General features: G+C 37.8%; 6 annotated features.

Moving 5' to 3' along the window:
• Nucleotides 11581–12211: an enhancer, noted in NCBI's record as "OCT4-NANOG hESC enhancer chr7:57554915-57555545 (GRCh37/hg19 assembly coordinates)". NCBI's record gives its function as "activates a minimal SCP1, AML or CMV promoter by ChIP-STARR-seq in naive H9 embryonic stem cells {active_cell/tissue: H9 hESC(naive)}" and the evidence as "EXISTENCE:reporter gene assay evidence [ECO:0000049][PMID:30033119]".
• Nucleotides 12212–12843: an enhancer, noted in NCBI's record as "OCT4-NANOG hESC enhancer chr7:57554283-57554914 (GRCh37/hg19 assembly coordinates)". NCBI's record gives its function as "activates a minimal SCP1, AML or CMV promoter by ChIP-STARR-seq in naive H9 embryonic stem cells {active_cell/tissue: H9 hESC(naive)}" and the evidence as "EXISTENCE:reporter gene assay evidence [ECO:0000049][PMID:30033119]".
• Nucleotides 12844–13474: an enhancer, noted in NCBI's record as "OCT4-NANOG hESC enhancer chr7:57553652-57554282 (GRCh37/hg19 assembly coordinates)". NCBI's record gives its function as "activates a minimal SCP1, AML or CMV promoter by ChIP-STARR-seq in naive H9 embryonic stem cells {active_cell/tissue: H9 hESC(naive)}" and the evidence as "EXISTENCE:reporter gene assay evidence [ECO:0000049][PMID:30033119]".
• Nucleotides 13475–14106: an enhancer, noted in NCBI's record as "OCT4-NANOG hESC enhancer chr7:57553020-57553651 (GRCh37/hg19 assembly coordinates)". NCBI's record gives its function as "activates a minimal SCP1, AML or CMV promoter by ChIP-STARR-seq in naive H9 embryonic stem cells {active_cell/tissue: H9 hESC(naive)}" and the evidence as "EXISTENCE:reporter gene assay evidence [ECO:0000049][PMID:30033119]".
• Nucleotides 14153–15131: an enhancer, noted in NCBI's record as "OCT4-NANOG hESC enhancer chr7:57551995-57552973 (GRCh37/hg19 assembly coordinates)". NCBI's record gives its function as "activates a minimal SCP1, AML or CMV promoter by ChIP-STARR-seq in naive H9 embryonic stem cells {active_cell/tissue: H9 hESC(naive)}" and the evidence as "EXISTENCE:reporter gene assay evidence [ECO:0000049][PMID:30033119]".
• Nucleotides 15132–16110: an enhancer, noted in NCBI's record as "OCT4-NANOG hESC enhancer chr7:57551016-57551994 (GRCh37/hg19 assembly coordinates)". NCBI's record gives its function as "activates a minimal SCP1, AML or CMV promoter by ChIP-STARR-seq in naive H9 embryonic stem cells {active_cell/tissue: H9 hESC(naive)}" and the evidence as "EXISTENCE:reporter gene assay evidence [ECO:0000049][PMID:30033119]".

The raw sequence follows: 16327 nt of genomic DNA, 5'->3' as shown, positions 1-16327 counted from the left end.
AACAAGACTCCGTCTCAAAAAAAAAAAGAAAAAAGAAAACAAGCCGTAACTAAATTGTTGTAACTCATAAACCAGCCATGTACACACAATGTTGTAAGCCCATTAAATTTTATTTTCTGCCTATATAAGCAAAAACTTAGCAGCACTGGCTCCATTTCTCTGGAATCTTTTCACCAAATGCCTAATTCCAGCTTTTTGTTTGACCAAACGTTAAAAAACTGAATTCTGATCCTTTCGAATATTTTAGGTTGACACTATGATTCAATTGTCTTATTTTTTCTCTTGTTTTGTGGCAGGCCAGGTCTCACTAAGGCAGGCCTCCATAACAAATGTTTCAGCACTGACTGAGTGGTTAAGTTAAATATTAAAAGCCAGTGCCCTTACACAAAGGCTAGAATGTCATAAGAGACAACCACGAGTTTTGCCTAGGCCTTTCCTGAACCTTAAAGCATGATTAAACAAGCTTATTGGGAGTCTGCAGGAACTCCCCAAACCTTTGTGAATTAGCAGGAGACAAGACAAGAGTAATCACCCCAGTGCCTGGACCCATTTAAATTAAGTATAGTTACTGAAGCTCCAGAAGAAGGTCTTCAGGACTCAGACCTTAGTTATAGGTTAAAAGAAGTTAATCACTTATGTCTTTAGATGAATGCACACCTATGCATAGAAATATAGCTTAGAAGCTATACAAGCTCTGGAAAACTTTGCAATTTTGAGTTGGTCAGGAGATAATTTTCAAGCCGCCTCTCTGTAACTGGTTGCAGAAATGAAAACACTCTTTCTCCTCACTTCATCTGCATCTCATTATTAGGCAGTGAGAAATAGCAGCCCCACCCTCAGTTTGGTCCAGGAACAGTGTGATGCCAATATTAACTGAAATTATGATTATTTTAATGAGATTGTGTCTTTATTCCAATATTCATTAGAAGTGAGTTATGTTACATTATTATAGAATACTGTATTATCATTTACTTTTTCCTTCTGAGACCAAAAACACTAAAGTTGCATATTCATTCAGACCTACATTTAAATGTTATTTTTTGAAATGTGTTACACAGTTTAGTTTGAGATTACACAACATTTTTGATGCTACAGTAAATATTCTGTGCCATTTTAATATTTTAATGCATTATTCTTGACATTTTTCTGAATGCAGTGAAAATGCAATTTTAACAAATATAAGATTAGTATTTTGCAATGTTCCTTCAGTGTTTATCTTCACTTAATTCTAGTATAATATTTCCTTATTTTTAAAGATATACACATATATAATGACATGTACACATAATTATGACGTACATAAGTATATATATATGTATATGTATATATAAGTATTCAGACATATAAGTAATTTGGATGATGAGATTATTTGTCCATATTAATTCAATAAGCCACACACACTGTCAAATAAAGCCATCCTTAAATACCTGATTGATTAACTGAGTTAACGAGTAATTTAATCCTTATTATAAAAATTTAAAAATCACATGTAAAATGTGTTAAAACATATATAATCATAAGTTTATAAATTGTAACAAAAACTAATAAGAAAACATTTTAATAAGGCTGACTTCCTTGTTATTGATTATACTCATACTTCCGTCAACCACCTGTCTTTCTGGCCTCTTGCACTCTGGCCATCTTCAGGTATTTGTATTATTCTGAATTCCTCACACTCTTACCCTCCAATCTTTGTTCATGATCATGATGTTTTCTCTGGAACATTTACTCAAGCCTTCTATGTTTTCCTATAATTTTTCTTGATTCAGCTGTGATATAATGTCCTCTGAGATGCTATCTTTATATTTCTGAGCCGGCTTTAGTGATGCTTCTATGTGTTTGCAAAATAATTTGTGTATAATTCTGTCATGGAACATGTCTTCCTTGACTACAAAAGTCTATTTGTACTTTCCACAGGTAAGTTACCAATTTACTGTGTTAGTCTGTTCACATGCTGCTAATGAAGTCATACTTGAGACTGGGTAATTTATAAAGGAAAGAAATGTGATTGACTCAGTGTTCCACATGGCTGGGGAGGCCTTACAATCATGGCTGAAGGTGAATAAGGAGTGAAGTCACATCTTACAGGGCAACAGGCAAGGGAGCTGTGTAGGGGAATTCCCCTTTATAAAACCATCAGATCTTGTGAGGCTTAATCACTATCATGAGAACAGCATGGGAAAGAACCACTCCCGTGATTTAATTACCTCTCACTGGGTCCCTCCCACCACATCTGGGAATTATTGGAGCTACAATTAAAGATGAGATTTGGGTGGGGACACAGCTAAACCATATCACAACTCCATTAAAAAGTGGACAAAGGATATGAACATACGATTTTTCAAAAGCTATACATGTAGACAAGAAGTATATGAAAAAAAGCTCAATATGACTATTAGACAAATGCAAATCAAAACCACGTATCACACCAATCAGAATGGCTATTATTAAAAAGTCAAAAAAAAGCAGATACTGATAAGGTTGCAGATAAAAGGGAACGTGTACACTGTTGGTGTGAATGTAAATAAGTTCAACCATTGTGGAAAGCAGTATGGCAATTTCTCAAAGAGCTAAAAGCAGAACTACCATTCAACACAGCAATCCCATTAGTGAGTATATACCCAGAGAAATACATATATCACTCTATGATAAAGACAGAAATGTACATCATTCTACCATAGACACATGCATGTGAATGTTCATTGTAGCACTATTCACAATAGCAAAGACATAGAATCAACCTAAATGCCCATCAATAGCACACTGGATTATAAAAATATGGTACATATGCACAATGGAATACTATGCAGCCATAAAAAAGAATGAAATCATGTCTTTTATGAGAACATGTATGGAGTTGCAGGCTATTATCCTTAGCAAACTAACACAGGAGCAGAAAACCAAATACTGTGTATTCTCACTGATAAGTGGGAGCTACATGATGAAAACATATAAACCCAAAGAAGGAAACAACAGACACTGTAGTCTAATTGAATGTGGAGGGTTGGAGAAGGGAAAGGAGCAGTAAAGATAATTATTGTATGCTGGGCTTAATACCTGGGTGATGAAGTAATCTGTACAACAAACCCCCATGCCACCAGTTTATCTATGTAACAAACTCTGTTATATAGTCTTGAACCTAAAATAAAAGTTTATATTTAAAAAGATCAATAGTTACAAGTCATATTGATAGTATGTACATTTGACATAACCTGATATGTTTAGAATAGCACTTTACCTCTAAGATCTTTGCCCTAAAGATACATTACTCAAATCTAATCATAAGAAAAACAACAGACAAAAAGTTATACAAAATGCCAATATACCTGACCAATGATCTTCAAATTTATCAAGGTCGTAAAAAACAAAGAAAGTCTAAGAAACTGTCATAACCAAGCTGAGCCTTTGTAGAGATGTTGAGTAAAAGTAATATGGTAACTTGGATAAGTAACTGGAAAACTCGAGGAAGAAATAAAGTATTTAATTTCTAATAATTTATAAATTATAGTTAACATGCTGTAGATTAGATCTCCAGAGCTCATTCATCTTATAACTTAAAGTTTGTACCCTTTGACCAAAATGTCCCCATTTTCTTCACTCCCCTAGCCTCTGGCAACAGCCTTTCTACTCTCATTTATATGAATACAGCTTCTTTTTATTCCACATATATGTGACATATACTAATTAGTTTGATTCTGGGCATCACCTCAATGTATCAAAACATGGTACATCTTAAATATATACAATTTTTATTTGTTAGTTATACTTCAATAAAGTTAAGGAAGTAATAATGTACTAATTGATTTATTAACTATGAAAACTGTGTCCTACTAAGATATTAGTAATAGGAGAAATTGGGTGTGAAGATAGACTGGATCTTTGCACTATACTTGTAACAATTCTTAATACAATACTTCTTTAAAGCCAAGTGTATTTAAAAAAATCAAAATAAAGATATGCAAGGAATGATAACTTTATAATGTATGTAAAAGAGACTGAATTTTGAATCAAAGTAATAGTAACATTAAAGGAGTATGATTACGGAGAATAATTTTCCCAGGGGTTGTCAAGGGCAGAATATGTGTTTTTGTTTTCTCCTTCCCTATAAATTCATTCTCTAGGTTAAGACTTGGACTGGCATAGAGCCAATATTGCTTATATTTTTAATATTCTATTTTTTTCTATTTCTTATTTTATCATATACACACTCACACATACACCTCTACCCCAGCACTATCTCATCAATTTTGTTTCTTTATAACAAAAAGTTATGAACATGTTTGTAACTTTTAGGGCCGTATGTGATGGCTCATGCCTGTAATCCCAGCACTTTGGGAGGTGGGCAGATCACGAGGTCAGGAGTTGGAGACCAACCTGGCCAACACAGTGAAACCCTATCTCTACTAAAAATACAATAAATTAGCCTGGCGTGGTGGCGGGCGCCTGTAATTCTAGCTACTCTGGAGGCTGAGGCAGAAGAGTCGCTTGATCTAGGGAGGCGGAGGTTGCAGCGAGCCAAGATTGTGCCACTGCACATCAGCCTGGGTTACAGTGTGAGACTCCATCTCAAAACAAACACAACAACAAAGAACATGTTTATAACTTTTAAATTTGGACTTAATTTTTTTATTTCCTATATTTTGAATCCTCTTGAAACTAAAATTCTTAATGACAAAGCCAGATGTTACCTAATAAAGTACACATGCACACATTTTTATAAAAACAAACCCATGGATACAGCCATATTTATTTTTAAAAAGTCAACCATACTTTATATTAAAGACAATAATGAATTATAATCCAGTGGAGATAGTTTGTAGAAAAAATTATTAACTTTATTTTCTTCTATTTCATATAGTTTTCTTTACAATCACTTTTTTTTAACAAAATATTAGGTTTAGAGTGATTTCATTGCATACATGATTATGCAATGTTCCTTTTTTCTGCTTTTATTTTTATGTCTTTTTTCCTATTTTCTGTCAAAGTAGAAACCATCAAGGATTTTTTTTTTTCCACGATGAAGCCTCACTCTGTCACCCAGGCTGGAGTGCAGTGGCATGATGACAGCTGACTGCAACCACCGCCTCCCGGGTTCCAGTGATTCTTGTGTCTCAGCCTCCCAAGTAGCTGAAACTACAGGCGTGAGCCATCATGCCTGTAGAGACCGTGTTTTGCCATCTTCAAGGCTGGGCTCAAACTCCTGAACTCAGGTGATTCACCTGCCTCGACGTCCCAAAGTGCTGGGATTACAGGCGTGATCCACCACGCCAGGCCTATCAAGCCATTCTGGATAGGAAAGTGATATAAGTACATTTGAGGCTTTCAATATTTAAAACCATTTGATTTCAAGTTTCAGTTCTTCCGTCTCTGCTTGTGTAACCATGCACAGTTCCTTTGTTTAATAACTTTAGCTATAACATGGGCATGGAATAATATTAACATGGTAAGTTTATTGTGAGTGTAAAATTAAGCAGTGCACAAGCTCTTGAAAATGTACTTAATCAATATTACCTACAGCTATTTTATTAAAACATTTATTATCATTGATGAGTTTTACCCGAACTGGTATCTACAAACAACCATTTGATTGAATTTGGAAGGGAAATTTCTAGTCTAACTCAAAGTTTTTTCAAGGTTCATCTCTGGTCAACGGCTTGGTTGCAACCCAGTGAGAGATCCTGAACCAGAAATACCCAGACAAACTTCTCCTAGATTTTTGACCCTCAGAAATTGTGTGAGATAATCAATTTGCATTGTTTAAAGCTGATGAGTGTTAGAGCAATATATTATGTTGCAATAAATGCTTAGTATGTATTTCAGTACCTATAAGCGAGATGTTGTTGAAAGAACACCCTAAAATGTAGGAATAACTTTGAATTCCTTAGTGGACTTGGAGGAGAGAATGTGAAAAAACAAAACAAACAAACAAAAAATGCCTAAGGTATGTTAAGTAAATCGTTAATAGAATCCCAATGTTCTTTCGTAAGGTTATTTGTAATGCCTACAGGTGAATGAGGTAACTCTTATTTAAAACTGGAGGAAAGAGGATTTTTGTTATGTAATAGCAGAAGTTTATCAATACTACTGCTTCAATTTTGTGGTGTTTGAGGTTGAATTCTGTCCTACAAAAGATGGAAGTTGAACTCCTAACCCCTAATACCTCAGAACATGACCATATTTGGAGATGGGGCCTTTAAAGTGGTACTTATGGTTAGGATAGGTAATATGGGTGGCCCCTAATTCAATATTACTTGTGTCTTATAAGAAGAAGAGATTAAGATAGAGACAGAGGCAGGATTATGTGGAAACAACAGAAGAAGACAGCCATCTACAGGCCAAGGAAAGGGGCCTTGCAAGAAATCAATCTTACCAACACCTTGATCTCAGACTTCTAGGCTTCAGGATTATGAAAAAATAAATTTCTATTGTTTTAAGGCAAAAGATCTGTTATAATTTGCTATGGCAGCCTTAAAATCTAGTACACGTAGAAAATAAAAAATGTACCTAAAATGCTGGATAATTTGCTAAGTAGATTTTCAGCCAGAATATTGAAGGTGACACCTACTTCCTTCTTGTTGCTTATACCAACAGGCAAGGTTAAAGAGAGAAAGTAGGCTGGGCATGGTGGCTCACGCCTGTAATCGCAGCACTTTGGGAGGCCAAGGCGGGCAGATAATCTGAGGTCGGGAATCCGATACCAGCCCTAGCAACATGGAGAAACCCCATCTCTGCTAAAAATACAAAATTAGCCAGGAGGGGTGGTGCATGCCTATAATCACAGCTACTTGGGAGGCTGAGGCCAGAGAATTGCTTGAACCCAGGAGGCAGAGGTTACAGTGAGCCAAGATCATGCCACTGCACTCCAGCCTGGGCAACAAGAGCCAAACTCCATCTCAAAAGAAAAAAAAAAAAGAGAGAGAGAGAGAAAGTAAAAGAAAGACTGATGAAAAAGTTGGAGCCAGAACTCGCTGATTTTGAAAATAGCCTCTCCAGAGGGCAACTGATAATAAAAGTAATAAGAAATGGTTTCTGAGAAAAAATCAAATTTAGAGCAATGCCAGAAACCCTTGATCTAAAGATAAAGCTGACGGTAACTGTAAAATTACTTGTAAAGATCTCAGAAAGGTGAAATATATGCTGTCTATGAAGGTACAGCAAGGAACTGAGAGAGGCCTCTGGCCAACAGCCAGCAAGGAGCTGTTTTCCTCAGTCCAGCAACCTTCCAGAAACTGAATGACGCTAATAATGTGAGTTAGTTTAGAAATGGATCCTCCCTCAATTGAACCTTCAAATGAAACGGCAGCTTCAATCAACAGGTTTACTGCAACCTTGTAAACCTTGCACCTTGAGGTAAAACCATCCAGTTAAGATTCTCCCAGAGTTCTGAACTCAGAAATTGTGTGAGAGAGTAAATGGTTATTTTAAGCTGCAAAGTTTTGGGATAACAAATTATCCCAGTATAATTTCTTTTACTGCAATAGAGAATTAAAATGGTAAGGTTGCTGTGAATGTAAAACTAGATACTGCAAGAATGCCCTGCCACAGAATAAGCACCCCATCTAATGGCTATTTTATTACTATATCTATTACATTTGATAAGATTCTCCATTTATTAGCATATTATAAAAATATAGAAATAATAGCTTTAATTTTATCGATAGTTCAAGAACTTCTGAATAGATCACAACACAGAAAAATAACTTCTAAGATAACATTAGGCAAGCAATTAATCTATAATTTTTAAAATCATATCATTTGATTTCCTGTATTTATTCCTATGTGTGTCTCTTTGGTAAGTTTACAGCATCTTATTTTATCCAACCATAAAATGAGAAATAGTTTCCACCTACTCACTTTGCAGGATATTGTGAAAATTAATGAGGTAATATGTGTAAAGCTCTAGAAGCCTTTAAATAATGCTATAAACATGAGTATTTTATCCCAGTGGGTGGGTTCTATTTTTGTGAATGGCTTGCAACATAGGGATAGAAGAGATAATGGATAGATAAATAGATAAGTAGGCAAAATAGATAAGTAGCCAGACAGGAGACAAGGTAGGGAAAGAGAGAGAAAAAAATAGGATAAATAATAGTAGAAATTAATGGCTTTGTAGTTTTTACGGAATTATCTTTTTGGCTTACTGACCACATGTATTTTCAAGGATATTCAAACACCCAGTATTAGGCAGCTATCTGATTTCTTCTTGGAATTTTTGGACTGACCTAAGGGGAAATTAGTTAAAGCTTCGTAATTGAGGCAACACATTATTTTTTCTTCTAATCTATGCATTGTTATTCCTCATAATGAATAAAATCAATTGCAAATAATATAATTTTCTATACTTTATCAGCCCTTCTCCCCTATGCAATCTATATTTTTCAGAATAACAATGCTTTAATATTTCTATTCTATATAACTGCTTCTGTGTATTTAAATATAAGAACATATAGTAGGACATCACAATGAAAGTAATTTCAAGCTGGTGTTCAGTGACACACAAACTACCAAGCAATAGCATAGGTGACAAGTTATAACAAATTTCCAAAAAGAGAAAGAGACTATCTAAGCAAGATTTTCAAATGTACTATGTGACAATCTGTTGTGTGATCTGTAGCTAACTACATCCTCCCCCAAATTCAGTTGAAGAAAGACTTGAGCAATCATAAAAGAGCCTAGAAATTAACAGGGAGTTGTTGGTGAGCTTTGGGTCTTTCCAAAGTCCTTTTAGTGTAGGGATTGAGAAACTTCCTTCTTATATCAAGTCTCATGGGAAAAATAAAGAGTGTTTGTATATGTTCACTGGAATTGGGAGAAAACAGTATTTGGTACGTGATTCACTCCCTATTGTTTCAAAGGATTAAGAAACTAGCTTGACTGTCTTGACACAGTGAAATTCAAAACTAACATCGATTGAAAAGTAGCTGCACTCACAATGGTCATGGATTAAGGTTTAATGCTTCCCATTGATGTAATGAACCTGAATTATTTAACCAACATGTTAGAAACACCATCTGGAAAACAAAACAAAACAAAACAAAAAACATATCCTTCCAAATATAGAGGAAGAGGAGTACAGTTGAATCCCTAGAAGTTGAGCAAGAACACTTCTAAGTGACCTACAAGAATGTACCAAAGACTGTCACTGCATGTGAGGGACCCCTCAGTGACAAGACAGGTATTGTCCAAAGACCATACAGAAATGCTACAACCAGAATAAAGCCATCTTCTATGGATGCTCTTAATGATATCCATGCATTTATCACCCTCTCTGACCTCACCACTGTGTCCTAGTGGAATCACAGTGAGAGAAGAGAAGAATAATATGGTGGGGAAAATAGAAAAGAAACTTATTTTAGATGCTTTCCCTACAGGCTCTTTAATATTAAAATAGTTCAGTATAGAATGAGAAGCTTTAACTTTTCAAAGTTTTGAACTTCCAAGGAACTGGACATTTTATTAAAATGAGTCTGTGTGTTGACCTTAATTCCTGGGAATACTTTTCAGTACCAGAGAACCAAAAGACAAGTCACGGTATTTGCCTTGAATTTTATCAAAAGACAAAGAACATGTCTCCAAAGTAGGTTGAGCAGGAAGAGGGAGGAATAAATCAAGTTGTCCTTTGTTGTACCTAAGTCCCCAAAGTATACGTATTATATGCTATATTTCACATATATCACATATGATATATGTGTTCTATTTTATGACCCATATTATAAATTAGAAAACTAAATACCATCAAAATTAAATCACTTGCAAGTGTTCACATAGCAGGAAACGGGGAAAACCAGATTAAAAATCATCCTGGCTTCAGAATCCATATTATTAACTGATATACTATATACTGTATCTCTTTTGCTTTGGTATTTATATATACATATGCATATATATACATGTGTAGATACTTGTATATATATTATTTGTAATCTTTTAATAAAAAGTACAGTTATTATAGAGAAATACTGAGTGCAGAGTTATTCATTTTTTATCTTCTAGGTAAGATTTTTCCATAAATTTTATAAATAGGAAATAGAATTATCTTCAAGTATTAATGGGATAATGGAGATAGGTGGAAAAGAATAGAGAAACTACAAGTACTAGAACTTAAGTTTACTTCACAACTCTTGGGTGACATTTCAGATTGATTTATAATTTCAAAATAAATAAAGGCTTTATGAGAATACGTATTATATGCTATATTTCACATATATCACATATGATATATGTGTTCTATTTTATGACCCATATTACAACAAGATATACAACATATACAAACAAGAAGTTTGTAGAGTCCATTAGATGAGGATTCCATTCCATTCCATTCCATTCGACTCCATTCCATTCCATTCCACTGCATTCCATTACATCCGATTCCATTCCACTCCATTCCACTCTTCTCCACTCCACTCCACTCCAGCCCACTCCATTCCATTCCATTCCATTCCACAGCATTCCATTCAATTCCTTTGTTTCGAGAGCACCTCACTCTGTCACCCAGCCTGGAGTGCAGTGGCACAATCTCAGCTCCCATTCCATTCCATTCCATTCCATTCCATTCCATTCAATTACATTCCAGTCCACTCCACTGCACGTCACTCCACTCCATTCCATTTCACTCTGTTGCATTCCATTCCTTTCTTTCGACAGGATATCACTGTCTCACCCAGGCTGGAATGCAGTGGCACAATCTCAGCTCACGTTACATGTCAACTTTCCATTGCATTGCATTGTATTCCATTGCATTCCATTCCATTCCATTCCACTGCGTTCCACTCCACTCCACACCACTACATTCCATTACATCCGATTCCATTCCACTCCATTCCACTCCTCTCCACTCCACTGCACTCCACTCCACACCTTTCCATTCCATCCCATTCCATTCTGCTCCACTCTACTGCACTCCACTCCACTCTACTGCACTCCACTCCACCCCACTCCACTCCATTTCATTCCATTCCATTCCATCCCATTCCATTCCTCTCCATTCCGCTCCACTCCACTTCACTCCACTCCACTCGTCCACTCCATTCCATTGCATTCCATTCCATTCCATTCCATTCCGTTCCACTCTGTTCCATTCCACTCCACTCCACTCCATTCTATTACATCCTGTTCCATTCCACTCCTCTCCACTCCACTGCAATACACTCCACTCCTTTCCAATCCAACCCATTCCATTCCGCTCCTTTCCACTGCACTCCACTCCACCCCACTCCACTCCACTTCATTCCATTCCATTCCATCCCAATCCATCCCTCACCATTCCACTTCACTCCACTCCACTCCAGTCCACTCCATTCCATTCCACTGCATTCCATTCCATTCCTTTCTTTCAAGAGTATCTCTCTCTGTCACCCAGCCTGGAGTGCAGTGGCACAATCTCAGCTCCCATTCCTTTCCATTCCATTCGATTCCATTCGATTCCATTCGATGATTCCATTCGATTCCATTTGATAATTCCATTCGATTCCATTTCATGATTCCATTCGATTCCATTCTATGATTCCATTCGATTCCATTCGATGATGATTCCATTTGATTCAATTCGACGATGATTCCATTCAATTCCATTTGATGATGCCATTCGATTAAATTCAATGATGATTCCATTCGATTCCATTCGTTGATGATTCCTTTCGATTCCATTCTATGATGATTCCATTCAATGATGATTCCCTTCAATTCCATTCGATGATGATTCCATTCGATTCCATTCGATGCTGATTCCATTCGATTCCATTCGATGATGATTCCATTCGGGTCTATTCAATGAGGATTCCATTCGAGTCCATTCCATTCCACTCGAGTCTATTCCATTCCATTCCATGCCATTCCATTTCATTCCATTCCATTCCACTACATTCCATTACATCCGATTCCATTCCACTCCTCTCCACTCCATGCCATTCCATTCCATTCCACTCCATTCCACTGCATTCCATTCCATTCCTTTCTTTCGAGAGTATCTCACTCTGTCACCCAGCCTGGAGCACAGTGGCACAATCTCAGCTCCCATTCCATTCCATTTGATTCCATTCCAAGCCATTCGATTCGATTCGATTCGATTCGCTTCCATTCCATTCCACTCCACTCCACTCCACTCCACTGCACTCCACTCCACTCCACTTCATTCCATTCCATTCCGTTTCACTCCATTGCATTCCATTCCTTTCTTTCGACAGGATATCACTGTGTCACCCAGGCTTGAGTGCAGTGGCACCATCTCAGCTCAAATTACATGTCAACTTTCCATTGCATTGCATTCTATTCCATTGCATTCCATAGCATTGCATTCCATTCCATTCCACTGCATTCCACTCCACTCCAGTCCACTTCATTCCATTCCATTCCATTCCACTGCATTCCATTTCATTCCTTTCTTTCGAGAGTATCTCACTCTGTCACCCAGCCTGGAGTGCAGTGGCACAATTCAGCTCCCATTCCAGTCCATTCCATTCGATTCCATTTGATTCGATTCCATTCGATGATTCCATTCGATTCCATTTGATGATTCCATTCGATTCCATTCGATGATTCCATTCGATTCCATTCAATGATGATTCCATTCAGTTCCATTCGATGATTCCATTCGATTCTATTCAATGATGATTCCATTCGATTCCATTTGATGATACCATTCGATTCCATTCGATGATGATTCCATTCGATTCCATTCAATGATTCCATTCCATTTTATTTGATAATGATTCCATTCGATGATGATTCCATTCGATTCCATTCGATGATGATTCCATTCGATTCCATTCAATGATGATTCCATTCGATTCCATTCAATGATGATTCGTTTCGATCCATTTGATGATTTCATTTGATTCCATTTGATGATGAGTCCACTCGATTCCATTTGATGATGATTCCATTCGATTCCATTCGATGATTCCATTTGATTTCATTCGATGATGATTCCATTCAATTCCATTTGATGATTCCATTCGATTCCATTCGATTCCATTCGAGGATTCCATTCGATTCCATTCGATGATTATTCCATTCGAGTCCATCGGATGATGATTCCATTCCAGTCCATTCAATGATGATTCCATTCGAGTCCATCCGATGATGATTCCATTCGAGTCCATTCGATGATGATTCCATTCGAGTCCATTCAATGATGATTCCATTCGAGTCCATTCGATGATGATTCCATTCGAGTCCATTCGATGATGATTCCATTCGAGTCCATTCGATGATGATTCCATTCGAGTCCATTCGATGATGATTCCATTCGAGTCCATTCGATGATGATTCCATTCGAGTCCATCCGATGATGATTCCAGTTGAGTCAATTCCATTCAATTTGAGTCCATTCCATTCCATTCAATTCCATTCCATTCCACTCCACTCCACTCCTCTCCACTCCTCTCCAGTCCACTCCACTCCACTCCATTCCATTCCATTCCACTGCATTCCTTTCCATTCTTTTCTCTTGAGAGTATCTCACACTGTCACCCAGTCTGGAGCACAGTGGCACAATCTCAGCTCCCATTCCATTCCATTCCATTCGATTTGATTTGATTCAATTTGATTCCTTTCCATTCCACTCCATTCCACTCCACTCCATTCCATTTCACTCTGTTGCATTCCATTCCTTTCTTTTGACAAAATATCACTGTGTCACCCAGGCTGGAGTGCAGTGGCACAATCTCAGCTCACATTACATATCAACTTTCCATTGCAATGCATTCTATTCCATTGCATTCCATACCATTCCATTCCATTGCATTCCATTCCATTCCACTGCGTTCCATTCCACTCCACTCCACTCCACTACATTCCATTACATCCGATTCCATTCCACTCTATCCCACTCCTCTCCACTGCACTGCACTCCACTCCACTCCTTTCCATTCCATCCCATTTCATTCCACTCCATTCCACTGCAATCCACTCCACCCCACTCCACTCCACTTCATTGCATTCCATTCCATACCATTCCATTCCTCTCCATTCCACTCCACTCCACTTCACTCCACTCCACTGCAGTCCACCCCATTCCATTTCTTTCCTTTCCACTGCATTGCATTCCATTCCGTTCTTTCAATGGTATCTCACTCTGTCACTCAGCCTGGCACGCAGTGGCACAATCTCAGCTCTCATTCTATTCCATTCCATTCGATTTCATTTGATTCCATTTGATTCTATTCGTTTCATTTCCATTCAATTGCATTTGATGATTCCATTCGATTCCATTCAATGATTTCATTCGATTCCATTTGATTCCATTCTATTGCATTCGATGATTCGATTCGATTCCATTCAATGATTCATTTTGATTCCATTCGATGATGATTACATTTGATTCCATTCGATAATTCCGTTTGATTCCATTCGATGATGATTCCGTTCGATTCCATTCGATGATTCCATTCTATTCCATTCGATGATGATTACATTCGATTCCATTCGATGATTCCATTTGATTCCATTCGATGATGATTCCATTTGATTCAATTCAATGATTCCGTTTGATTCCATTCGACGATTCCACCCGATTCCATTCAATGATTCCGTTCGATTCCATTCGATGATTCCATTTGATTCCATTCGATGATGAGTATGTTCGATTCCATTCGATGATTCCACTCGATTCCATTCCATGATGATTCCATTCAATTCCATTCCATGATTCCATTCGATTCCATTCGATGATTCCATTGGATTCCATTCGATGATTCCATTTGATTCCATTTGATGATGATTCCATTCGATTCCATTCCATGATTCCATTTGATTCCCTTCGATGATTCCATTCGATGATGATTCCATTCGATTCCATTCGATGATTCCATTTGATGATTCCATTCGAGTCCATTTGATGACGATTCCATTCGAGTCCATTCAATGATGATTCCATTCGAGTCCATTCGATGATGATTCCATTCGAGTCCATTCTATTCCATTCCATTTTTTTCAAGTCCATTCCATTCCATTCCACTCAACTCCACTGCACTCCACTCCACTCCTCTCCACTCCAGTCCACTCCACTCCTCTCCATTCCATTCCATTCCACTGCATTCCATTCCATTCCTTACTTTCGAGAGTATCTCACTCTGTCACCCAGCCTGGAGTGCAGTGGCACAGTGTCAGCTCCCATTCCATTCCATTCCATGTGATTCCATTTGATTCTGTTTGATTCCATTCGATTCCATTCCATTCCATTCCATTCCATTAGATGCAATTCGATTCGATTCCATTCCATTCCACTCCACTCCACTCCACTCCACTCCACTCCACTCCACTCCATTCCATTTCTCTCCATTGCTTTCCATTCCTTTGTTTCGACAGCATATCACTGTGGCACCCAGGCAGGAGTGCAGTCACACAATCTCACCCCATATTACATGTCAAGTTTCCATTGCGTTGCATTCTATTCCATTGTATTCCATTCCATTCCATTCCTTTCAATTCCATTCCATTCCACTGCATTCCACTCCACTCTTCTCCACTCCACTACATTCCCTTACATCCGATTCCATTCCACTCCTCTCTACCCCACTGCACTCCACTCCACTCCTTTCCATTCCATCCCATTCCATTCTGCTTCATTCCACTGCAATCCACTCCATCCCACTCCACTCCACTTCATTCCATTCCATTCCATTCCATTCCTTTCCTCTCCATTCCACTCCACTTCACTCCACTCCACTCCACTCCACTCCACTCCACTCCACTCCACTCCATTCCATTCCATTCCTTTCTTTCAAGAGTATTTTCACTGTGTCATCCAGCCTGGAGTGCAGTGGCACAATCTCAGCTCACATTACATGTCAACTTTCAATTGCACTGCATTGCATTCTATTCCATTGCATTCCATTCCATTCCACTCCACTCCACTTCACTCCACTCCAATCCACTCCATTCCATTCCATTCCATTCTTTAGAGAGTACGTCACTCTGTCACCCAGCCTGCAGCGCAGTGGCACAATCTCAGCTCCCATTCCATTCCATTCCATTAGATGATTCCATTCGATGATTCCATTTGATTCCATTCGATGATTCCATTCAATTCCATTCGATGATTCATTCGATTCCATTCGATGATTCCATTCGATTTCATTTGGTGATGATTCCATTCAATTCCATTCGACGATGACTCCATTCGATTCCATTCGATGATAATTCCATTCAATTCCATTCGATGATTCCATTCGATGATTCAATTCAATGATGATTCCCTTCGATTCCATTCGATGCTGATTCCATTTGAGTCCATTCGATGATGATTCCACTCGAGTCCATTCGATGATGATTCCATTCGAGTCCATTCGATGATTATTCCATTCGATTCCAGTCAATGATGATTCCA

The sequence above is a fragment of the Homo sapiens genome, chromosome 7 (genome assembly GCF_000001405.40).
Source record: "Homo sapiens chromosome 7, GRCh38.p14 Primary Assembly".
Taxonomy (NCBI): Eukaryota; Metazoa; Chordata; class Mammalia; order Primates; family Hominidae; genus Homo; species Homo sapiens.
Note: the sequence above shows the minus strand (reverse complement) of the source record. Positions and strands in the feature narration are given on the sequence as shown.